Source organism: Homo sapiens, chromosome 14 (assembly GCF_000001405.40).
Source record: "Homo sapiens chromosome 14, GRCh38.p14 Primary Assembly".
Lineage (NCBI taxonomy): Eukaryota > Metazoa > Chordata > Mammalia > Primates > Hominidae > Homo > Homo sapiens.
The window spans coordinates 33,766,765-33,793,581 of record NC_000014.9 but is presented as its reverse complement, the minus strand read 5'-3'; the positions used below and the strand labels follow the sequence as shown (position 1 = coordinate 33,793,581).

The window sequence follows — 26,817 nt, the reverse complement described above, 5'->3', positions numbered from 1 at the left end:
TGTCAATGGATTTGACATCAGATGGTAAGAAAGGCAAATTTGTATGTGATTTATTCATAGCTTGGAGGTAGACCTCTTTGAGATTCTGGATATTTGAATGGTTCCAAAGATGCTTTACCCCTCGTCTTTGATCGTTTCTCCTCCGTGTGAGCAATCTCAACCCGCGTCCTTATATGTCTGTTCCTTTTGATCTTGTCTAACAGAATTTATAGTCCTCCGATGAACTAAATTTACACTGGTCAGTCGGGGGAGATTCTGGTGAGACTTCGCTGAATGTTGGAACAAAATAAATTCCCCAGTGGAGTCAGAGAGAAACACTGGCCTAAGGGAGGCACAGAATTGACTTGGCTGGAGCCAAACAGAGTGACAGCTCCACACAGACTCTGAAATATGGCCCCAAATGAAGGAGCAAGTAAAAACAATCAGTAATGTGAAACGGTGCCATTAAATACCCACTGAAAGAGAGCTTTAAAATGCAGATGTTAAAAATGATACTTGAACCAAAATCTCGCCAAGTTGAAATTGATTTGATTTGTATCTGGGTACTCCTGAGCTAGTAAAAGGGGAAAGCACAGTAAATCATCCCCTGAAATAAAGTGCTGTGGATGGGAATGGTTTAAAAGGGTGCCGGAAATGTGGAAAACCTGCTGTTATTACTTGGCTGCGGATCGCAGCAACTCGGCGCCCCGCGAAAGCTCACCGGCTGGCTGGCCACTAGAGGGCAGTGTGCACTCATCTACGTCGCCCACTTTTGGCATGTCCTTGCCTCCGTCTGCTGAAATGAAAAACCTCTAACTGCTGTAATAAATTTGGCTAAATTAGCTGCTAAATGGTTATCTCAAGTAATATGTATTTGCATTAATCATCTTGCTCTAAACCAGAACAAGCCAGAGTCCTAAAGACGTAGTAAATTCATATTGTCCATTTAATTACGGCTAATAAGTGCTTCATATACAACAGTTTCATGAAGTACATTTAGATTTTTTTTTTTTTTTTTTTTGGAGGGGGGTGGATGGGTGTGAAGGGAAGTCACTTTGGAAAAGGGCTGTGTTTAAGGCTGTGGAAGCTCTTCTCATCTTGTCCTGAGCCACTCTTCCTGGCTCTGAAAGTGCCACATCCATCTATTACATCCATAAACATATAAACTTGGAAGGTTTTCTTCCATTCTCCTTTTTTTTCTCACAGCACACTAACGGGACCGTTGTAAAATTTGGTAATTATGTCTTAACTGTTACTTGAAAAAGCCTCACTTTGATGAGTGTTTCAAATCATAACAAGTTTCATTCTGAAACTCCTCACCAGTTTAGGGTGTTTTGAAGGCCCGGAACTGTCACCTTCTCTTGGTGGCGTGGCTCCACAGGTTGCATTGTACTCTCCTTTTGTAGGCAATTGTAAGTTCTGCCATTCTGCATGCATGGCTTCCCAGGCTACAAAACTGCGTGGTGAAGCTGAAAGCAGTAAAATACTAACTCTGCCATACAGCTCTTCTGTCAAACCATTGTTGCATGCAACAAGATGTGCTTTTATTCAAATCCTCTCAACCTGGTTAACTATTAACAGAGGAACGATGGGTTATATAATTCTGTCCACTATTTTCACAGAGAAAACTTACAGCACCCCAATCAGTGGTTGGGGGTATAATTCTGTCTGCTTTGTGTCTGGAATGAGGAATAATTCCAAATGGTTCTAGTATGTTTAACAAAGGCAAAGAGACTAAGAAGCCCCTTTTTAGAATCACATGAAGAATACATTGAGATGGCAGGCCAGATCAGCACAGCCTGCCTGGGAGTTCTAGACTAGAATTTGACCAAAAGCAGGCAAAATTTTAAAAAGAATTATCTCCACTTTACAAAGTATACAAAAGGGGCAAAGGGATAAAGGAGTTATAATATCAAATTAGAATCTGCAGAATCAATGTAAAGATCACCCCCTCCTTCCTGATAATACTTTCTCTTAATAAAATCCCAATTTGGAAATAGACATCCAGCCAAACGTTTGGCCTCCCCAGTGGTCTGCACGTATGTGTAGCGAAGGGGGCTGAAAGGCTTCTTTGCTAAGGGACCGTATGGTGTCATCTTTTTGAATTACAGTAGGATGACTCTGGGTCTACCTAAATGGATCTGTGTTTCCTGAGAAGATAAATCCAGCACTCGTTTGTTAGGGCCCATGAATATAATAATACAGCTTTCTTTATCACCCAGGCCAAGGGTCAGCTAGCAAGAGAGGAGAGCTAAATATGAGAGGGGCAGGACAGGTGACTTCTGATGTGAGGAGGTATCTGTAAAAAGACTGAAGGGGAAGGGAATGGCTCACGGCTTCCTTGGGGAGTCGGGGAGCCACGTGATAGCCCTTGACTTCCTGTGGTGAATACCACAAAGCAGGTTCGGGAGCCCACCGTGGGCGGCTGAAGAGGACGAGTTTGACTGACCTGTGGTTTTACCCTGGGCCAGTCTGACAGGCAGAATTCCTAAAGGGTAGGCAATCTCACTTGGTCTCTCCTAGGGATTGGTGTTTTCTGAATGAGACCCCCAAGCGCCAGTGGGAATCTAGATAACTACAGATACGGTGCAGAGTTGGGACAACATGTTTACCAAAAAATCACCCAAGTTGCTTTTGGTTTGCAACAGATCTTGTAAAAGAAATCATAATGTTTGGGAGGCCAAGGTGGATGGATCACTTGAGGCCAGGAGTTCGAGACTAGCCTGGCCAACATGGTGAGACGCTGCCTCTACTAAAAATCCAAAAATGAGCCAGGTGTGGTGGTGTGCACTTGTAATCCCAGCTGTGAGGGAGGCTGAGGCACAAAAATCGCTTGAGCCTGGGAGGCGGAGGTTGCGGTGAGCTGAGATTGCACCACTGAACTCCAGCCTGGGTGACAAAGCGAGACTCTGGCTCAAAAAAAGAAAAAAGAAATCATAATGGAATTTAGCTTCTTTAAAAAATGAAAAAGAAATACCTTTTGCTTGGGCCTCCAGAATGTAAATTTATGACTTTGGGATGAAGCTTCTTTCCTTGGAAAAAAAAAAAAAAAGTCATACTGGCAAATCAGTTGGATCATTCCAGCTGCGCCAGAGGCAGGATCTGACAGCTTTTCCTGAACTCATGTGGTCCTAATCAGCTCAAGAAGAAAAGCCACCTTGGTGCCAGTTTGAAAGGATTTTTAGTGTGTAATAAATTAGAGAACTTGAAAAACACAGAAAAAACTTTTTTGATTCTCTTCAATCCAGTGGCTGTTGTTTTTTATTTTCAAGTTTTAGGTTTAAGCAGTGAGAAAGGAGAGAATATTTGAATAAGTTTATTTCATAAAATTCCTTTTGCGGGAATAACAAAAATAAGCACCACGTGAGTTACTTGATATGAAAGTCCTTAAAAAGAGTTAATTGTCCCTTGAAAAGAGATAGATACTCATCACACAATGAGCTTAGGAGTAAAGTCATAACCATGTCTACAAACTACAAAGGGAAAGGAACAGAGGGAGAGGAACTAGAAGGAGAGATTCTAATTTGAATATCACATCCTTGTCATATGGTCTAGGTACCTCTAACATGTAACCTGGCATCTTTTCTTTGGTTTATTCCAAAGTTTACTTTCTACTCTCCAAAATTTTTGGGCTGAGCAACCTGTGTGTCTCTCGCTGAATTCACTGATCGTGTCAAAGCATCTCTAGAATTATGTCTTTAAAGTTGTACTCTAGGCCGGGCGCGGTGGCTCACGCCTGTAATCCCAGCACTTTGGGAGGCCGAGGCGGGCGGATCACGAGGTCAGGAGATCGAGACCATCCCGGCTAAAACGGTGAAACCCTGTCTCTACTAAAAAATACAAAAAATTAGCCGGGCGTGGTGGCGGGCGCCTGTAGTCCCAGCTACTTGGGAGGCTGAGGCAGGAGAATGGCGTGAACCCGGGAGGCGGAGCTTGCAGTGAGCCGAGATCCCGCCACTGCACTCCAGCCTGGGCGACAGAGCGAGACTCCGTCTCAAAAAAAAAAAAAAAAAAAAAAAGTTGTACTCTAGTAATTACTTTTAGTTTGAGGATCCCAAAACTTTTAAATGACCTCTTCTTAGATTTGACAAAGTAAACCTGAAGACATAGAGAGGATAAATACACTTGCATAGGTTAGCTTAGAATCTTGAAAGGTCCCAGACGTAACTGGGAACATCTCTGCTAGCACACAAGAACATGTTCCTTGCTCCTCTGAAGCCCAGGGTGTAACCAGTTGCTTTTGGCTGTTGTTGCTCGAAGGAAAACCAGGAGGCTCTTGTTGGCACCATCCCACCCTCCAAGTTATAGGAGCTTTAGAGTTATAAGCTGTGCTCTTCAGAGGACAGAGGTGACCTTCCACTTGTGAGAAGAATACTATAGAGATGAACTGGGAGAGATTTAAATCCTCCTGGTTGAACTGTTTCAGCTTTGCTTAGCTAACAATTACAATACCATGAGTAAGTGTGTCTTTGGCTGTTGAAGTCAAAATATTAATACCACGTACCTCTAACTGTGAAGGAAGCTGCAAATACAGTTCAATCAAAAGAAAATTGTGGAGTGCTTACATTTCAGAACATGTGACCTTTTACATCAAACACAGGTTTCCCCTGCCCGCCCCCCACCCCCACCAAGACTGGATGCTAAGTTTTATTGAATATCTTTTTAAAATGTCACCTGGTCTCTTGGTTTGAGCTTAGTGGTTGGCCTATAAGAAATGTACTGCTTAGAATAATTCTTCTCCCTGCAAATCTGATGAACTTTTTCCTGAGGTACACATCCGTGGCCCTGCACACAGTTACCAACAGAGGGATTTCAGTTTTCCTTGGGAAAACTTTGTCCACAGACACAGACTGACGACTGAAAGGACATAAAGGAAGCCAGTGTCTGTGGCAGGAACATAATTCTGGTAGTAAATCAAAACAAATCAGTACAAGTTTGCCTTCAGAAATATGGAGAAAAAAAGAGAACGTGGTCTCTTCCTGTTGGGCTGTTCTACAAAATCAAAGCCAAAGATTCTAAATAGTGAGTTAGTTGTGTCATAAGAAGAAGGAAGCAGTCTAATTCAGTTTGAAGAGGAGATGAAGAACACATATCAAAAGCGGTCTTTTAGCAAAGTGTCTCACAAAAGGACATTTTAGTGGTTTGCATATGCATTAAAAAGCTGCAAGACATGGTGCATTCAGGTAAGTATAGAATAAATAGGAAATGGTGAGATCATCGGAGATTCCACCCTTCACATTCACACAGCCGAACAAAGAGCTTCATTATCGTCATGGCGATAGGAGGACGCATCTGTGGCGCCATTCACCCCCTCCTGGAGGTACCTTCGTCAGTGGCCGCGGAGAACGGAGAGCAGGTGCCTTCTGCTACAGACTCAAAAATTATTTTTGAATTCACTAGAGTGTGTATCTGTGTGTGTAAGTGAGGGGGGTGTGCTAGAATCACACTTTCTACTTAATACCACAGTTGGGTGCTTAGCTGTAGCCACCGGTTCCCTTTCTACATTCACAAAACTGGCAGATGAAACATGAAAAAGAATACTGACTCTTTAATCTCTGCTTCTCCACCTAAGGCCCAAGGCAGGCTGACAGGGAACTTCATTCTGGAAACAGGACTTTCTTTCTTCCTTTTTCTTTCTTTCCTTTTTTTTCTTTTTAATTCTGGATTACTTTTTCTTTGGCTTTTGAAAACTGGGCTATAGGGGAATGAACCTGACATAGACTTAAAACAAGAACAAGTTTCCTTATCTAAAAAGTTACAGTCCTTGAGGCTTACAGGAAGGTCATTTTCAAAACCCACAGGAGAAACACAATTATAGCCAGAAACTGCATTAAGTGCTTTATTTACTCGCAAAAGAGACAGTTTTTCATTTAGAACTGCTCATAGGATCAACCGAGGCTTTGATGCTGTGCAGACTTTTCTATAGATTTTGCAATTAGTGAGCTAGATGTCTTAAATAGCAGGCATCCAGAAATTGGTTTTTAGGTTTTTTTTTTTTTTTTTGTAAATCTATATGCTGAGCAATATTTGGTAGAATTGAAGGATATTTGATACTTACTGTGAGTTATGAGCTTAAGGACAGAAGACCTGTAGATGTTTTGTGAATGAGTATGCATCATCGATGGATTTTCCCCCCTAATACGCTAATGACAGGCCCTGCTTGAATTGCTATCTGTGTGATTTACAACCTCAGGGGAGGTTTTTTCCTATACACTGCCAATTGATAGATTTTTATTGACTGTTAATATTGAATCATGCAGAAAACTTTTCATTGATTTAGAATGCGTCAATTTGTTAAGCTTAAAAAATAAATTCCCCTTTTCTTCATGATAATGTACTGAATTGGAGAACAAGGCTTTTAAACACTGTTAGTGTTCTAGGACAAGGAGAATCAAAATAATTGTTGGCATGAGGGACATCTGAGATCACAGTATTTTACGAGCTGTTTTCAGTCTGACCAGGGAGTTTCAGTCCCACTCATTCATTCCCTTCTCAACCCAAAATAGTTAAGGATAGAGTATTTTTTTTAGGACCTATACCTTCTCTTTTGGGGGGGGAATTTGTTATATAAATGAGAAGCGGTGAACTCCTCAACATGGAATTAAAAAAATTAAGGCTAGGAACTGAGGACAATGGTGGATTTATTCATTCAATCCATTTTTTTTGAGTGCCTACTCTGTGCTAGTCACTGGGGGATATCAGAGTGTGCAAAATGTGTCACAGGCCTGTCCTACGTTAGTCTCCATCAGTCTTGATAATTGCATTCCCCTAGTCAGGGATTGTTTTAGGTTTGGAATATGATGAGACACTGGGCAATGAAACTCAAGTGGAAGTCTCTACTGTGAGAGGTTGTTGAAAAAGTTTATTCACTCTGGAAAGAGGGATTTACCTCTACTTGCCTTTGAATGAGAAAGAGATGCTTATCAGTCATTTTCACTAATAAGTTTACAACAGTGACAACTGTATGGCAGGTGGTATGTAGGTCTATGAAAGCGCAAAGGGCGTCTGACTTGGGCTGGGTGCATTCTTCACCTCCCTTTAACAATTAAGTGTTATCAAGTACTGAAGCAGTTAATCTGATTAGGGCATAGGCAGAAGTGAAAACAGACAAAAGGGATGATGTGGACCTTATACTCAGATTTATTTTGTCTCTGGTGGACCCTGTGCTTCTGGAGGCAATCATTTTGTTAACTCCACTAAACAAACATCTTTAAAAAGAAATACATGAGTAGTGAGGCACAGGTATGTAAAAACTAGTGTTTCAGAAAGTCAGAAACATTTCCAGGATCCCAGACAAATTCCATTTGTTCATCTGTTATGTAGATTTTTAGAAATCCAAGTACTTTATTGTGAAAACATAGATTCTTCCATGTAGCAGTCATTGTTGGTCGTCTGCTCAACAGCTATTCTGCCACTTCCTTCTGGATAACAAAAGTCTGATTTTGGGTTTTATGTTTGATGGCCTCCTCCTAAATCCCAGGAGAATAAACCTCGATTGTTTAAGCCAGATACAGTAATTCTACCCGCTTGCCAGTGAGTGGCTTAGGCTTGGTCACTCGACACACGGGACTATGAGACACAAGAGGCTTCTCCCTGCTGTGGGGTGGTGGGGAAGTGCTTCTGGAAATGTTTTCTGTGAGCTCCAAAATGAACACAAAACATCGACTGACCCCTTCCGCACTTTGGACATTGCCCTATGAGGAACTGATGATGGGGATGCTATCTTGATCTTTTGATCAAGTCTTTTGATCATGAAGAGAAAGTTAAGTCATTTTTACTGGGATTTTCTGTTACTTGTAACCAGGTGCATTCTAGTCGATATGCCCCACCAAAAGTTCTAGGAAGCCAGAGAAGATGTGGGAGTTCATGAAGAGATTTGAATGACCTGATCTTTAGTTAACCCTGCATGTATGGGAAAACTGTTGCATGTTAGACACATACATGAATTAAATCCTATGCCACTCATTTAAGTTAAAAAAAGTTTGATGTTTTTTGAGATATGTGAGGTATCATTGAATGTTTTCAGGAAACAATTTAAAAAATAGTTTGTATAAGATTGAGAACACGATGCCATTATAAGAAGTAATGGAATTGATTTTATTTAGGTTAACTGATTTAGGTGAAAATGGATGACTCAGAAGTATTGATTTTTTTTTTTTTTTTTTTTTGAGATGGAGTCTCACTCTGTCACCCAGGCTGGAGTGCAGTGGCATGATCTTGGCTCACTGCAAGCTCCACCTCCCGGGTTCACACCATTCTCCTGTCTCAGCCTCCTGAGTAGCTGGGATTACAGGCACCTGCCACCATGCCCAGCTAATTTTTGTATTTTTTAGTAGAGATGGGGTTTCACTGTGTTGGCCAGGCTGGTCTCGAACTCCTGACCTTGTGATCCACCCGCCTTGGCCTCCCAAAGTGCTGGGATTACAAGCATGAGCCACCATGCCCGGCCAGAAGTATTGATTTTGTTTTCTTCTTCTGATCGTGCCTTATAAGAGCAATGGGTTATTTTTTGTTGAATACAAGGTTTTAAAAAAACTATAAAAGCAGCTACTAGGCTGGGCGCAGTGGCTCATGCCTGTAATCCCAGCCCGTTGGGAGGCCCAGGTAGGTGGATCACCTGAGGTTGGGAGCTCGAGACCAGCCTGACCAACATGGAGAAACTCCGTCCCTACTAAAAATACAAAATTAGCCGGGCGTGGTGGCGCATGCCTGTAATCCCAGCTACTCGGGAGGCTGAGGCAGGAGAATTGCTTGAACTCGGGAGGCGGAGGTTGTGGTGAGCCGAGATCGTGCCATTGTACTCCAGCCTGGGCAACAAGAGTGAAACTCTGTCTCAAAAAAAAAAAAAAAAAAAAAATAAATAAATAAATAAATAAATAAAAATAACAATAAAAAATAAAAGCAGCTACTAATTGAAATAATAATGAGAAGCTTGCGAATCCATGTGAGAATTTTATTAGAATTTGTCAGTCAAATCAAAGTTCTGGCTTGCTCTCTGGGGAGACAGAAAAGATCATGTGTTTGTGTTCTATGTCTCTCCTATGCTCTTCTAAGCCTGCAATGCCTTAGACCACTCCTCCATCTCTCTTGCCATCCTCTTTCAAAGTCCAGGGAAAATCTGCCTCCCCTGGGGCTTTTTCTCCATCCTCCCCTTAGTTGCTTTCACCTCTGGGGTTTCTGTGTTTTGTCTGCACATCTTAACAGACCTCATTTCATACTAGCTATTCAGAATTGGCTGTTTCATGCTGCCTTCTCTATTAGTATGTAAGCTCCTCGAAGGTGGACACCATACCTTAGTTGCTTTTGAAACCTCACAGCAATGACACAGGCTTTGCATTAGTAAGTGCTCACAAATGTTAGATAAACTTGAATAGGAAAAAAACGACTGCTCATATTCACTCATACAGTCAAGTACACAGGAAAGTATTCGCCCAAGGGAAAAAAACGGTAAGATCTTTTGCTTACTAGGTTGGATATTAGTACTATGTATACTCTGTTAAATTTTTCCTGTTGATATTTAAAACTTTATATCTTTGTAAAGAAGTCAGCTTCTTAATCCTATTCTTGTTTCATTGGAATACTGATCGAGTACCCTGAGAGTTATTTCACTACTCACCTTTTGCTACTGTTCTCAGAATTCATCCAATTTGAGAGGAAAAGAAAACCCTTCAGATACTCAGTTTGTATTTACTGTTTACGTCGTGTAAAATAGTGCCGTCTAAAGACTAGTATGGTCTGTACTTTTCAAGCTTTCACATGAATACGAGTCAGCTGGGGATCTTGCTAACTGCAGATTCTGATTGGGGAAGGCCTTAAAATGTGCGTCTCTGAGTTCCCAGGGGGTGCTGACACCACTGCCCCACTGATGCACAGTGTAGTAAGCGCAGCAGGGATGCGCCGCTGGAGCTCAACCCTCTTGCTGGTCTCTGACTCCGTGCTTGCCTGCCCATGGACTTGAAAAGCCAAAACAAGCACTGTCTCCCTGCCGGTACCCGCCCCCCCACACCACCCCCCCAAAAAACTAAGACAAAATAATACAAATTCATCCCTGCATAAAAACCTGCCTTTATCTTGCCTCCTTGTGACGGTTTTTTCGGTTAATGGCCAGGCACACGATGAAGGCTGACTTGGCTTCTGAAGAAAGTCAGACATGGTAGCTATTACATGCATTTCCTTTCATGGGAATTTTCATATTCATATGGCAGAAGGGGAACACTTACTTGCTCTGGGAAGAGTCCAGCCAATGACCAGGTTGCAGCTAAATCCCTGAAGACCCACCCCTGAAGAAAGGCTGAGATCAGAAAACAGAAAAAAGTCCCCCGTGCTATCTGCATTTGGCCCACCCATCAAACTTTCCACCTTTTCTCTTTCCTTCACTTGCAGCTTCCGTTTCTGTGTGCAGTGGCTGCATACCCAAACCAACAATTAAATTCCCCCTTTGTTTGTGTGGCAGATGACAAATGCATGGAGGACATCTTGTGTTGCCTAGGCAGGCAGGGCACTTACTTTGATTGATGCTCGGTTGTGGAAAAAAATGAGCTGGGAAGGAATTACAATGGAGGGCCTGCAGACTGGAAGGGGATATACTAATTAGTCCCGCATTAAGCAGTCTGCTTGCATTTGGCGATGAGACGCCTTCAGGAGGGAAGTGTAGGGGTTATTGATGCAAAACAGCATGGAATGCATTATATCAGGTAGCTGTATATTAGTTTTGTTAGAAAGTATAGAAGTTTGTAATTAAGAAATAAACACTTAAGCTACTGTTTTTTTCTTTTTTTTAAAAAAAAACAACCCCCAAGTATGTTGGATAGGCCATGCTTTTTAACTGCATGTGATCTCAAAGGCAATCTGAAGTCCTTCTGTCTTTCTGAAATAACTCTTCCAGAGTTTTCTGAGACTGGGTCAGGTGCTAGGAAGGAAAAAACTGCCACCACACCTACAGTCTCTGGCTCCTTTTCTCTGAAATCCCACAGCTCCAGAGCCTTGAGCCTCCCTGGTGGAGCAGAACATCATAAAGAGAAAGGAAGTTTTCCCCTAGGCCACTCTTTAAGGTTTTAGAAAGTTGTTGCTGATTGGACCCACAAAGAACCCTAGGGATATCTCGAGACAAATTCAGCTCCTTCTCTAGACAAAGGGCTGGATTAAATGGGAATAAAGAGCAGTGCAAAGCATGCATCTCTGTTTGGTTTAGCACTCCATTTTTGGGGGGCTACAGGCAGAAGTAGAGTGGTAGATGGTTGCACTGAAACGTCTCATAATTGAAGAGCCACACAGACACCATAAGTAACTGGAGTGTGTAACTGTGGGAAGCTGTGAGTGATCATCTCCCAAGCCAGTACCTCCTGAGCAATGGAGAACTGGAGGGAGGAAGAGGTGAAGATGCCCCAATAATTACTAATGTGAATGGTTTAAAATTCTAACCTTTAAATGTTGATTTGACCTGAATAATTGGTGAAATTGGTTTTAAATGAAAGAAATCACAGACGTCTTTGGTCACAGTGTGAAAGAAGGGGCCCTAGAACTCCCTAGGCTTTAGAGTTCCAGTGTAGTTTCACTAACATACCATGTTGGCGTCAATAATGTGATTCTTACTGATTCTTTCTGTTGAAATCCAGTGAACTATCAGTCATCTCATGTTAACTTAGTGGAAGAGTAGATGCTCTAAAGTTCTTGGTTCAATTTATCAGAGTTGTAATCCTGGCACAGCTGATATTCCTCTTTACTTTTCTTATTCTAGAGACAAGTTCATTTATGGATTTACAGATGCCTAGGCAAGGAAAAAAGATATAAGTGATAAAGATAGTATTTTTAGTTATCAAAGACTATTAAGTCTTTTAAAAAAACGCTTTATCAAACTGGGGCATAAGACAGATATTAAAAAATCAGAAATATTACCAGATGACTACAACCTATCTTTCAGGACAGAACCAGGAATTGTGCCAATAGCTCTAGGAAGAAAAACTAAATAGTTAATGTGGTTTATTTTTTAACCATCCCTTTGTTTTAGAATTCTATCTTATTCTTGACCTGATTCTATGTCGCCATGACCTTCTCCTGCCAAGAAGGCACAGTTGAGGCATCCTTCAGTAATAGCCTAGGGCTTTGGAAAAGCAAGATGCTGTGCTGGCTTTTTGCCTTTTCTTCCAGTGTTTACACAACCAAGACTTATTACATGGTCTGTCATTTTGTTACTGGGCTGGCTTTGGTTTGAGAATTAGGTAAACATCAGACATTCCATCACACAATTTTAGACTCAATCTTACTTTATAATGATGTTAATGTTTATTGTACAAAGCGAGATGCATTTGTATATTTTAGCATTTTATTTCAGTCACAGAATGCAAAACCTGACACTGGAATCAGTTTGATTTTTTTGTGTGTGTGATTGAAGATATTAAGCACTACAAGAACGCTGAAATTTCAATCTGATTAGGATCAAACTTCTTCAGGATCAAAACACTCTTTTTCCTCCCCCTACAGTTTTACTAATTGTGTGCTACTTGACATTGTGGAGTTATTCCACAGCATGATAGCTAAATATGTGAAGTGTATTTTACTATGCAGAATTATCAGCTCATTCTATTTGTTTTTCATGTGTTTAAGGTTATTAAAAGAACTCAAAATTAGAAGTCATGTGTATGAGTTAAAAGAATGAACCCAATCATTGTTAGTAGGCTGAATCATAAAGCAATAGCCGGTATGTCAATATCAAGTAATGAAAAAAATCAGAATTTGAAAGCATACCTTCTCTGTTTATTAGTTGGCAAGATACCAGAAAAATTAGGAGAATAGCACAATAGTGAATGGTGGAGTGGTTTATTTTCAGCACTCTCAAATTATTCTGGGTACGGAAAATGAGATAAAAGTAAATCGGAAAGAAAGGCATCAAACATATTTGTTGGAGACCTTTGCTTAATGGGGAGAAATGAACTGCCCTCGCTCACTGTTCCTGAGGAATTGTGTTTCTTCAAGCTGTAAATCAAATCCCAGAGAGATAGCATGATGCATGATGTTTTCCAAATAATAACTGAGGAAGACAAAGTTCTTTTTTTTTTGTCAGCCTCAGGTTTCTGAATTTAGACCTTAATTAAGATTCCAAAATGAGAAGGCATCTCCCTCTGCACACATGGTCTATGACAGTGTCCTCAAAACAATATATTCATTTGTGAAGTCTGGATCTCTAGCCTGTATTATTCCAAAAATATATCCATGGCTTCTTCCAAAGATCCTGATTTTTTTCTCCATTTTCTCTAAACTCTGAGCAACAAAGAACCTGATGTTTCTTTTCAGGAAACCACATCATTTTTTTCCCCAATTAATTGAAGAGCCATCTGCTTCTACGATACACAACACCCATTCATTCTCAGCAACAAGTGTGTTCCCTAAATCCCTGGTGTGCAATATCAAGACACACACACTCCGTGTTGGGAGTAGAATCTGCTGTCTTGCAGGCAGGCTCTTTCCAGAGACGTGGTATATACAGATTCTGACACTGAACTTGGTTCCATGTCAGTGTTGCTAACGCAGGGTTAAAAACACAGTACAGGATGTTCATACTTTGAGGTGCTGGCTAGCTCAACATCTCCATGTTTCTGAGTTCGAAATGAAGAAATAATTGCAAAGGGCAGGAAAGATAAGAAATAGCTCTCTTTGACCAAGATAAGAAAGGGGAGAGGAGGTAAATACAAAGGCCACTTGGCTGGCTTTTTCTGTATAAATGCTTCAACTTTAGGCTGTACCATCTCATTTGTGGCACCTTGCATGTACAGCCGTGTGTTGTTTAATGATGGGGATACATTCTAAGAAATGCATCACTAGGGTATTTCATCATTGTGTGGATACCACAGAGTGCACTTACATAAACCTAGATGGTGTAGCCTACTACACACTTGGGCTATATGGTATAGGCTAATGCTCCTAGACCAAAAGCTGTACAGCATGTTACTCTACTGAATACTGGTAGGCAACTGTAACACAGTGGTAAGTATTTGTATATCTAAACACAGAAAAGGTACAGTAAAAATGCAGTATTACAATCTCATGGGACCACCATCATATATGTGGTAGGTAGTTGACCAAAACATGGCTAAGTGGCATGTGACTGTATTTAAATTCAGAGGTCTGAACTGGGGTTAGAAGCTTCCAGGGACATGGATAGGGGGTAGGGGAGACTCATCTTCAGGAAGAATCTCCTGAATGGTCATATAAAGGACCTCTGGTCAGAAGAGGGCCACCAGATCAGTGCTCTAGTCAGACCCCTTCCATGGACAGTGCGAACAGCCAGGGCGGTTGGATGCGGGGTCCTGCATGGTTCTGCTGGTGTGTTGCTGGAGCCAGCCACACCACTGATGCTCCTGCTTTGCTCACATGCACAGAAGGTCTTTTGGAGTTCAGCCTGTGGCTCAGGGGCTGGGAGCCATATTCAAAGAGCTGAGATAAGTTTCTGTTCCCCAGGAGTTGGGGGATGGAGATACCTACTCTTCTGAATAACTCTCTTTCCAGAAACAGCGAAAGCACTGTCTTCGAGAGCTGCTGTGTCCACACAACATTTTCTCTAAAGAACGTGCTCTGCCCCATCTCCCTGGCTTCCCCTCACCCCAGTTTTGTGGCTGGTCAAATAGGCATTTTTATAAGGCTCTGGCTTATTTGAACTTGTCTTCTCCCATGTGTACTTTGAAACTGAGACCACAAATTTCAGAGTGGAAGTTGTTCTCCAGAAAATGAAAGGGTCAAGGTAGCACTTAAGACAAAGGTTTCCCCACCACTTTATAGGAGAGACAGCAAAAGACACCACAGAATTCTGGGTGAGTGCCTAAAGATCCAGCAATTTCTCTAGGCCTGAGGTCCAACTTTCAATCTAATTCTAACACGCGTTGAAATGATTTATGTCTCACTTTTTCTCACTGCACACTGACAGTCATCTGAAATGTACACAGGAAAGATGAAGGGAAAAATCAGCACTGAAACCAAACAAGCCTCAGAGATTGCTGACACCAGCCGGGGTTATTCCCCCACACAGGAGGTACTTACAGTCCAAGTGACTGTGCCTGATGCCCTCCACGTCTTCAGCATGGATGAAGTGGTAGCATCTCTTCCCTACGATATCTACAGGGGTCAGATCCATATAATCACTAATCCTACAAAGAGAAGAACACAGGCTGGAATTCAGAAAGGAGGAAATATAAAGAAACTGTCAAATAACTTAGAAACAGTTCTACTGACACATTTCATTATACTACTGTACCCGTGAGGAGGTGGCACTGTGAGGGAAACCCTTTATACATAAGATTATTTCTTTAACACGTAACAGTCTTTTTTCAAAAGTAGGAAATGCGTTAGATCAAGCGATTGTGTTTCAACAATTAGATAGGTTTTTCTCTTTCTTTGGCATTAAGAATGCACATTTAGACAACATAATTTCATGAAATTATTGAGAATCAGTAACAATGCAAGATCCTCATTACAGGCCAAGATAATTCAAGGTTACATAATAAAATAAAAACATGTTATGTTTATACCAAATGATTAGAGACACCTTTCATTTAAACAGATTGGTCTTCTATTGGGTATTTCCATGAAAAAGGGCTTCAGCAGCTTCTTGGCACAAAGTCCAAATTGGCATTTCAAGGGATATAATTTAAATGCTGAGACATACAGATGCCTGGGGGTATTATCTTTTTTAGTCTTAGTCATTTGGGAGCTCGGCTTTCACTCCTGGCCCTTTTAACTGGTACTTTGTGGTGGATTCCACACAAAAACTTTTAAACCATTTCAGCAGCTCTTCCAGGCTTGTGCTCGACAGTACGTGTGTGTAAAAGCCTCTGTCACTGACTGTCCAGACGTCGATGTCCTCAGGCAGAGCATGGAAAAATAGAGCCCAAATTGGAAACCGTGTTGGGGGAATCCGCCTGGTTTACACAAACATGTCAAAATGCTTGTTACCCTCTGTATTACCAAGTGCAGATTCCTTTTGGTCAGTCCAAAGTGGAATATATTTTTTGTTTAATTTATTCTCTTTACTCTTCATGTGTTTTTTTTTTTTATGACTTACGGCATATGGTCTATTGAAATATGAAGTAAATCTTTAGAAATGACACATTTAAGAAACACATGTGATCATTGTTGGAGAGTTTTCTGGCCCCCAAGGCAGGGAAATAAGAAAGAAAAACAAACAAAAAAAGAAACATAATTAAAATATATTACCCATCGAGTGAATTTCTCAGTGTCTAGCAATTCAAATAATATTTTTGGCCAAACTAGGATTTTAGGTAAGATAAGATTAACTGGGGAAATAAAAAGGAGGGTTTTCTAAGGATTTCATGGGTTTCAGGTATGACACAGATTAGTCGGTGTTTTCTTAAAACCATTAGCTATCTTCCAAGCACAGTTAAACCCCCTTTCTGCAAATGAGGGAACAAGGATGTCATTAAAAGACCCTCCCTCACTGGTGTTTCTGAAATTTGCCAGCTCCTCTGAAAGCATTAGATGTCGGCTTTGCCTGAGGCCGTCCTTGGGAATGCAGAGAAGAATGGTCTGCAGAGTCAAGGAGCAAGGCTTAGTTTCTAGTTAACAATTCCCTAATTAAATAATAAACCCCAGGAAAAAGCCACTCCATTCTTTAGGGAAGGCATTTCTTTAGTTTATTCTTTTCTTGAATTAAATCCTTAAAAAACGATCCAAGCCCTTCTCTGTACCAGAGCCTGTTACTGTGGTGAATGCGACTAGCCCGGCATTTGAGGGTCTCTTAACACATATCTCAAAAGCACCAGACCAGTTGGATGACCTACACCAGGATCAGAATCCTGATGGCACCTTTTACTCTGAGACTCAGTTTCTTCTTCTGTAAAATAATCCAAAAGGTTGGTGAGGGGATGAATGAATGGAATGAAATTAACACAGCATAGTGCCTGGCACACAATATGCTTTTCCTCAGATCAAATATGCAATTACCTTTCATACAGGTATTTTTCATAATTACTATCATCTGTAGATGGGAAATAATGCTGTATTGTATTGGCTAATAAAGGGGACTGTGAAAAGCTTTTTTTTTTTTTTTTTTTTTTTTTTTTTTTTTTTTTTTTAAGAGGAAGAAAAACGCCAAAAGCAGGTCACAGAAAATGATCTCAATTACTAGAGTGGCACCATGAGGCACTCGGGTCCATGGAGCTTGTCAAAAGAATTAATGAGTTGATCACAGGAATGAAAATTAAGTGATGTTTTGGGATAGGACAATCATTGGAAGTTTGGTAAATAAGACGAGGCCCTGTTCTTTGGAGGGAGAGGTGGCTGGTAGCTAAATCAAGGGAGCTGATGTGTGTTTTCAAAAAAGCAAAGCCACAGTCCATCCTCTGATTTGATGTCTGTCTTCCCTGGTTGGATCTCCTTCTCCAGCATTCTACATTTTTAATTAGAGAAGAAATAGCTTTGTGGGCTGTAACTTGGTTCTTTCATGGGTACATATGTATGAAAAGTCCCCCTCAGAGGTTATTCTTTCTGGTCATTTGCCATTCAGTCTGACTTCTGAAGAAAAAGAAGAGACTCCAGGAGACTCCACAGGATGTAGCTAACTACATGGGCTTTTGAATCTCTTGGCTGAGGATGAGACAGTCAACGTTTCTCTCTTAGCTGAAATTGCCCAAAGGCAATGGAGACAGCAGCAGCACCTGCCTCACAGGACTGTCCTAAAGCTTAAGTGAAATTGTGCAGGTGATGAGCTTTGCACACGCCCCATGTGTAGTAAGTGATCAGTAAACGCCAGCCATCTTTATTAGGAACTGCCAACTCCAGCGAATCATTCTGGCTAACGCATGTTTCCTGGTGTTCTGTGGCCCTTCCAGAATATCTCAGACATACCCACGATGTCACGATCATAAACATTTTAATAAATGCCAACAAAATTTGAAATGCAGATTCAGAGTTTCTTATCAAATAACAGCAACAGGTTCATGAGATCTTCCACCCTATTGAACACTCATAGCTCAGGTGGGTTATCTTTTCCCAGGGTGAATTATTTCCTTTGAATCAGGTCCTGTTCAGAAATGATAGGCAGTTTCCAACTCGATCTCAACATCTTCAGCGCTTCCCAGTGGACTGAATGCAGGGGCTATCTTCTTGGTTAGTCTCTGGAGAGGTCAGTTCCCCAAGTCACTTGACCATTCGGATCTTCAGTTTCTCCTCTGAAGGCACTTGCAGGGCTCAGTGAATAAGCCTGACAACAGCGCTGCAAAAGCATCCTCCCCAAATTGACGCAGTATTTCTCCCTGTGGCACCCGGGGAAGGATAGTATCGCCAGAGCTTCCTTCCCACACCTGGTATGTGGGCGGCTCCTCTCCACGGCCCTCCCTGCACCCCATGGTTTCCTCTTCCAATCAGTCTGATAAGGGGCTGCTGACTTCTAGGTGAAAGGTCTGAAGGGGCAATGTCCCATTTCCTTGTCCCTTGCTTTGTGCTTAATGGAAAAAGTGAACTTTTTAACCAGAGGCTAAAAAGTCCTTTTATAAAAGCTTAGTCTTGAGGAAGAACTGCCAACTCATTTGTATGATGAGTCATCTTTTTTTAATTTATAAAAGTGAAATCCTCAGGATGACAAAGTTTTATTTAATAGCTTTGTAAATTTCTTTTTCATCCTTTTTCCTCTGTGGACCTCAGATTCTCATTTGTTCTTTCCATGCTTAGCGTCTGTGTGAACACTGACCACCATGAGGCCAGGCCCTCGAATTAGGCAGAAGTGGGTCCCGATGAGGCATCAGGCAATACATTTTACTGCATCATTTTGCCAATGGCATCTAAGCCCTGCTCTCTCCTTGGGTTCTCAGCCAAAATGGACCTTCTTTATAGCATATGGATGTCTGGGTATCCCGATTCATTTAATTGTTGTCCCTAACGTAAATCAGGGCAGCAATGTAAATTTTAAATAAAAAGCATGTTTGGTGTCAGTCCAAGTGGCCATTAAAAACAAGATCAGGATTTAGAATGAACCTCACTGGGAGAGTACCATCCTTCAGACGGCTGAAACACAACCCTCACCAATGTGCAACGTGCAACAGGGCAAATGAAAACAAAAACAAAGTACCTATTTTCACAGTAAATGATATTGAGGTCCATATTTACTCGAGTGACGAACATATGGCAGTCAATTCTGACTTCATTGATCGTAGGGGGAGGCAAGGCATGCGCAACAACCACGAGACCCATGATTTGGCTGGGGACGGTCCTCCCGTGGGACAGCGACACTCTCAGGCGTAGCCGGCCTGTTATGTGAATCACCTGTAAAACAACATTAAGTACAGGACACCAGTCAAATTTACATCCCAGATATAACAGCATTTCTTATGAGAAATGCAAAATTACATCTGGAACAACCAACATTAGCTTGTATCTTCTGTAATCATAATGGCTGTCGGCATGCCCTCAGTGTCCTTGTGGCAAGAGACAAAAAAGAAATAGTATTATTACATTCCAGGCGTTCCTCAAGGCAGCATTCTTATGGTGCTGTTGCTATTTTTTTAAGGACTTTTTTTTCACATTAAGGGAAAACTCATAACCAAATAAAATGACCAATAAGTTGAGCACTGAGCTGCAAAAGGAAACATGTGCATTATTAGCCCTTATTAATGGACGACATCTGTCTCTCTCCAGGTCTGTACTTGAGTGGGATTACATGGCCATCTCCTTTCAGATGTGTGGTTTCTGAGCCCTCCTTCGTTCAGGGGTTGATATTGTAAAAGGCCAAAGGCTCCAATGAATAAAACACTCAGTGGCAATGACATGAATGGGTTCTTTCAAGGATAGATATTTCCTGTTATGCAGCACTGAGTTCCCAGTGGTACAGTGATTTATTGCAGTGCCCTATGGGGTTGATGGTCAGAGGACTTTGGCCCATGATTTGTCCCTGGAGCTCATACTAAAGTAGGGTCAGGAAGACTTGAACCATCTTAGTGGCAGCTCAGAGGTATTTGCCTGGAAATAGGAAGGAAAATATTGGGCTGTAATTTTCAGTTTCTTGGCCAAAATAGTCCAGGCCACCCGGAACCAAGCAAACTTTGCATATAAACTGCACATAGAAGAGCCATAGCGACAACTTCCTCAAATGATGCTCTGGGGAAACAAAATCATAAAAGGGTAAAAAATAGGCAGGATTTGTGCCACTATGCCTTAGGTTGCAGAAGGAAGGGCTGGGTGGGGGTGTGCGTGCACACATGTGCATATCAACTCTAGCTGTGTTCCCACGACTCTGCTATAGTGTGGGGAATCCTCCAAAGCCAAGTCATAGAGGTAACTGCCATGATTCACAGTACCATGGAGCTCAGTTTAGTGGCTGAGTGTCCATATGTGCTTTGCCGCTCCAAATGCATCACTGAGTGCCACGCTATCTTTTGAGATTCTGCTTTTCCTCCTTTGCTATAAGGAACTGGAGTGGGAAGTAGGTCTCGTGCCTCCCAGGAACAATATGATCTCGCGTCTGCTCTCCTTCCCAGGGGCTCCACTGGCAATTCCTTTTCCATTTTATTTTTGTTTCTTTTAAGTTACTTGGTTTTCCAATAGTGGGCCCACACTACTGTCAGTCAGGAAGCAGGATCAAAGCTTACAGGGCTGCCCTTCAGAGTTCTAGCTGCTTCAGCTAATACCTTTTCCCTGTCACCCTTCACGTCGGCGCCCACAGCTGTGGATCTGGAAGCACCAATAAGGAGGATTATTTAGGTTATTTCAGCAGCAGCTTTTCGACCACCCACATTTGAAGTTGACTAAATTCATACTTAATGCACCTTTGCTTTAAGCTTTGGTCAGATGAGCTACTTTATGAATATTTGAAGATGTTCCTAGAGGCAAGGATGCTAAAACACCATCACAGACACACGTTTGTGCAAGACCTCATTAACTAATAGAGAAATAGCTAAAAGAAATGGGATTAACTTCACAGGAGGGGTGTTAACAGTCGCTGGTCCTCCTCCCAGCTAGGCTTACATAGATGCTCATTTATCATTATCTGTCTTGTTTTATCAGGAACACTCAGCTTTTTGGAAAAACACAGATCTATAAATGCTCAGGAAAACACACATCCAGAAATGATATGCTAAATAAATCCCCACTTGGTATTCTATTCCAAAGCAATTTAAAGGCGTCTGGGTTGGAAAACATTTGGGGAAGGCAGACAGGCTACCGGGAGGGAGCTGTCAGCATGTCAGATTGACCTGGCCTCTGATCTCCAGCTTTGCCTGTGGCCATCATGGTACTGAAGGGGGCCAAAGTTGGGTCCAGTAGGAGTCTATTGAAGGGGGTCAAAGTTGGGTCCAGTAAGAGTCTCGACTCGCAATTTTCTGATTCCGTTACCACGGGCAAGTCACGCAGCCTCTCTGTGTCTCAATTTCCTTTTCTGTGAAATGGAGATAACGGTGACTATAAACTGTAAAGAATTCTACACATTTTATTATTACGTCTCTGTTTGCCTTTAAAAATATCGACCAGTAAGGACAAGGACCAAGTATTAATTTGGTGTTTTTCAAAAGCCTAATTAGTGACTGACTATTTTAAAGGATCATAAAATTTCACATTTGGAAGAAAATTTGGGAGGGTCTATCTTCGCTCCTTTCCCTTTTTATTTTCAGGTGAAGAAGGAGGCTCCAGAAGGCTCATCCCTGTCCAAAGTCACCTAGCTTGTAAATGGCAAATAGTGCCTGGAACTATGTTTCCATGTCTTGTTTAAGAGTCACTTCAACTTAGTTATACCTGTGTGCATATTCACATTGAATGAAACATTAGAAATAGATACCACATGCCAATTTTTTTTTTTTTGAGATGGAGTCTCGCTCTGTCGCCCAGGCTGGAGTTTAGTGGCGTGATCTCGGCTCACTGCAAGCTCTGCGTCCCAGGTTCACGCCATTCTCCTGCCTCAGCCTCCTGAGTAGCTGGGACCACAGGCCCCGCCACCATGCCCAGCTAATTTTTTTGTATTTTTAGTAGAGACGGGGTTTCACCATGTTAGCCAGGATGGTCTCAATCTCCTGATCTCGTGATCCTCCTGCCTCGGCCTCCCAAAGTGCTGGGATTACAAGCATGAGCCACAGCGCCCAGCCACCAGATGCCAGTTTATTAAGTAAACTGTATATGAACTTTTGAAAAGATTTCATTTATAACTAGAAGCTCAAGTTATTTGAAAAATCTTTGAGAAGTAATATAAACTAAAAAGAAAACAAAGAAAATTACCAAAGCAGTAACTAAATAGTTGTCAAGAAATGTCAAAGAACAATCAGAGGGTGTGTTTGTCTGTCTGTGTGTATGTGTGGGTTTGAGGGAGGGTGGAATTGAAGAGAAGAAAGGGATATCTGTTAGATCCCACAATTTTTAGGTTTAAATTAACATATTTTTTTCCAAATTCATTTCATAATGCCAACAGAGCTTTTTTTCCTCAGGTGACAGGTTATGTTCAAATTTCAGAAACAAGTCTGACAGCATGTATCCAAACATGTAGATCGCTGAATTTTTCATTTTATAGTTGCCTTTAAGGCCTGAGATGTACAGAAAAGAATATTGTCAAGATGGCCTGGGTTCAAATCCTAGCTCTGGCACTTAATAGCCGCACAACTGTGATACTAAGACAATTGAAATGACTTGCTTTGTTTCCAGGTTAGTATATCAAAGATTTAAAACCTAGTACAAAAAAATAAGTGTGTTGCAAAGATTTTTTGTTTTGTTTTGTTTTGAGATGGAGTCTTACTCACTCTGTAGTCCAGGCTGGAGTGCGGTGGTGTGATCTCGGCTCACTGCAACCACCGTCTCCCAGGTTCAAGCAGTTCTCCTGCCTCAGCCTCCCGAGTTGCTGGGATTACAGGCATGCACCACCATGCACAGCTAATTTTTGTATTTTTAGTAGAGACTGGGTTTTACCATGTTGGCCAGGCTGGTCCTGAACTCCTGACCTCAATTGATATGCCCACCTCGGCCTCCCAAAGTGCTGGGATTACTGTGCCTGGCAGTTCTTTTTTTCTGAATAAAGTTAACAAAAGGTATTTTCCTGGTTCTTTAGTTTCTAAGACACATAATCTATGAGGGACCTTGCTAGGTGCCAGGAAGCTGACCAAGGTAAATCAAATGTAAATCTGTCCTCAAAGAGTTTACAGACTGTAAGTTGGGGGAAGACATCTATAATTATTTCTAATATTGCCATAAGAGGGAGATGATTCAGTATCTGATCAAGAAAGGGGGTTTTGATCCTGGTTATGTGACAGAGTCACTTGCGAAGCTTTGTTAACATGTGAATTCCCAGACTCTATCCCCCAGAGTTCTAATTTGATAGGATTGGGTTACAGTCCAGCATTTGTTTGCATTTTAAAGCTTCAGAGGTGATACTAACTACCTGAGAATATCTGGCAAATGGGTTTGCAGTTACACCAGTGGTTCTCAACCATGGCTACACATTGGAATAAACCAGCAAGTCTTGAAAAGTCCCCCTGTCCCGGCTGTACCTGAGACCTGTTAAATCTGGATCTCAGGTGGTGGGGCACTGGCATCAATATTCATAGACATTTTTAAAGTTTTCCAGGCTGGGCATTGTGGCTCACACCTGTAACCCCAGTGCTTTGGGAGCCTCAGGGAGGAGGATTGCTTGAGCCCAGGAGTTCAAGACCAGCTTGGGCAACATAGGGAGACTCCCATCTCTACAAAAAATGAAAAAATTAGCTGGGCATATTGGTTCATGTCTTTGGCCCCAGCTACTTGGAGGCTGAGGTTTGAGGATTGCTTGAACCTAGGAGATGGATGCTGCAGTGAGCCGTGATTCCGCCACTGCACGCCAGCCTGGATGACAGAGCAAGATCTTGTCTCAAAAAAAAAAAAAAAAAAAAAAAAAAGAAAAAAAAAATCCAAGTCTTTCAGGGCTGGTTGGAGGGAATGAAAATGTGTGCAAAGTGCCTAGGTATAATGCCTGATGTGTATTATATGCTCAACAAATACTGTTTGATTAATTAACAAGCATGTTCCATAAGAAAGGTTTGGAATAAGATCTTCAGGAGTTCAGGGTAGGAAGAAAATACTTTCAGCTGAATGGATCCAGGAACATTTCAATTGGTGTCAGCAGGAGAAAAGACAGAGATGGGGCCCAGATGGCAGTACAATCAATGGAAATTGGCAATGGGACCTGAGGAGAAGAGCTGGTATCATAATTTTTGTGCCTGTCCCACAGGACGATGACGACAATAGACTAAATGGTAAATGGTAACCAAATGGTAACCAGTGGAGACAAAGATGATTTCCCTGTGAACAGTTTGTACTTGAGCAGCCTGGGAAGATCCTGGAGAAGGTGTTCAGGGGATAGTCGAAAATAAGAGTTAGGCACTTAAGTGATGATAGTTGAAGGTATAGTTCTGGAAGGTTATTTTTTTTTCTTCCTGGAGGTGATAATTAAAACCAAGAAATTCAATAGAATTGCCAAAGGAGAAAACATACATAAGAGTGCCAAAGGCATTTTTACCCACTTTGAGTAGCTGAAGCCTCAGGCAACTTATGTTTTTGTTTTTTGTTATTCTCTAAATTGAGGTCCTCTTGCTCTAGAATAATTTTGTTTAAAAAATAGCACTTTTCTGAAAGCTCTTAAGCACCCTTTTTCTCCATCCACAATTCCATTCTAACATAAATGCCAGGCTTGCCATACCACCACCAATCCCAGTGCTAACATATCAAAGAATGGATATGGCTTCCTTGTAAAGTTAAGTAGGTGAATGTAAAATGATGGTGAATACAAATATATAAGCCTAGATTCTAATATGTCAAGAGCCATGAAACTATAAAAAGAATCTACTTTAAAATGAAAGGAATATTGGTGGGGGGCGGTAAAAATAACATTGTATTGGGAAACAGAACATCTGTTTTCAGTCCTGGTTCTGGTAACTTTGGCAAGTCTTCTAGCTTGGTGAGGGTAGGATTTCCTCAGATATAAAATGGTGTCAAAGAATCAGGCAATGATGCCTACAATTCTCACTCATCTCTAGGGAGTTCTATAACCAAATGTCTAATGGAGTGGCACTTCCTGTGCTGTAGCATTACCCCACCTCCTCCTTTACAGCCCCATAGTGGGGGCAGGAGTTTCAGAATACAGCTGCAAATTGATAAATTCAGCTTAATAATTCATTAGTAGGGATCTTATAGATCATATTTGAATTGAAATAAGCTTTGGTTCTGGCCAATGCTGGGTAAAAGCTGCCTCAGTGTTCAAAAAGTTCATCTTAATCTGGTCTTAAATCTCATCTACAGACATTCTTCAGAAGAGCTTTCTGAACTAAAAGATTCTTTGCCCCTGAGCTCAGTGTTACATAAGAGCTCGATCCTCATGTTTCCTTTCATTGTTCCTGTTTTATCACAAAAAGCTGTACAAAAATGCTAAAGCTCATATTTTTCTAAACTCCTTACACAGCACTGCCCGGATGCCAGCAACAGTGAAGCAGAATGCACAAGATTACTGAGTTGAAATCCCATCATCTTTGATAAAAATGTCCACATTAGCATTATTTGATCATCCCATAGTGAGGAAATCATTGTTTGACTTTTATTTTTCTTCTCTGCTGCAAGGAGTGACTGTGTGTGATGCTGTTAGATGCATGTCCGCAGAGTTTAGGATGAATGTGGGAGTGTTAACAAGCCACATTATTTGGGCAAATGTATATTTCTGTTCCTGCCATATGCTCCTTTCAGTTTTCTGTTGGTGATACACTCTTAGATGTGCTCCACTAATATCCTCTCATTATAAACAGGCCCATCACAAAGACCTTGATAAAACCTCCCCTCTGTCAATACTTGAGGAAAGAAAGTCCATGACGGAAAAATACATCTGGAAGCTATTCTCCTTTCTTTTAGGAATAAATCTCAGTTCTAGTAATCTAAAATGTTCTCTTTAACAAAAGGAAGTGCCAAGTACTCTGTGCATTATTTCCCACATATAATGTAAAGTATAGAATAGGGCTAGGCGACTAGGGGAACGAAAAAGGCTTCAGGTACGAAAAAAAAAAAAAAAAGACAAGAGTCCCTGGGTTTAGAGCATCTTCAGAGATTTTTCACTTGTCCTTTAAGGGAATCCAAATTTACCTTAAAAATTAAGCTTCCTTCTGGCACTCTGGTCCCTTTTCTTTTTTTTTCCTCTGTAGAAGTCTGGTTTAGCATACAGATCGTCAAATCACTAGCTCAGGTGGGAGAGTCAGCTAATTATTTTTAAGTGACGGGGGCTCTGAGGTGGCCTGAAACCTGCCGAAAGATAAGGGCTTAGCCGGGTCTTCTGAAACTAAACATCTAGCCTACAGCATAACAACTTAATCTGAACCAGCATGAGAATATCAACCTTGTGTAGACTACTTCATGCAAATTTATAGGGAGTGGGGCTTCCAGGATTTAGACCATATTCATAGGCTGGAGAATCTGCCCTAGCAGATCTGCTTCTGTCTCACTCTTGCCACCTAGGTCTTTCCTTGCACAAGGCCTGAAAAAACAAATACCAATAAAAACAAGCCTTAGCTGAAACCAGGGACTCTTCCACAGATGCAAGCGCCATGGAGAAGGCGGCTCATAACTGAAGGAGGAGCCCTTAGACCTTCTGGGAGGCAGAAGCAGAGTAGAATGGCATTTCCTTTCCCTTACAGGATCTCAGATTTTAGTTCTAAAAACTGACTTTACAACTAAAACTATAGGCTTTGTCATAAGCCACAGTGGGAGTTTAGCAACTGTGGATGAGAAAAGGCAGAACAGGGAAAAGCTGACTTCACAAGGTGGAAGTGAGATCCAGGGAGGGGGTGACAATGCAGACCTCCTCCAGGGCCAAGGAGGATGCAACAGGAGAGGTGGTCCTGGAATGCTGTC

The 26,817-nt window shown here is 41.5% G+C and overlaps 1 protein-coding gene across 19 annotated transcripts in view; it reads right to left on the bottom strand.

The window, feature by feature from the left end:
• Positions 1–26,817, bottom strand: part of NPAS3 (neuronal PAS domain protein 3) — an 869,389-nt gene that overhangs the window by 10,592 nt on the left and 831,980 nt on the right. For all 19 annotated transcript variants that reach the window (XM_017021582.2, XM_017021583.2, XM_047431678.1 and 16 more), the window contains 2 exons: positions 19,052–19,245; positions 15,010–15,116 (listed from right to left, as the gene is read on the bottom strand). In XM_017021582.2, the coding sequence (XP_016877071.1) occupies positions 15,010–15,116; positions 19,052–19,245 (301 nt within the window). The remainder of the gene's footprint in view (positions 1–15,009; positions 15,117–19,051; positions 19,246–26,817) is intronic.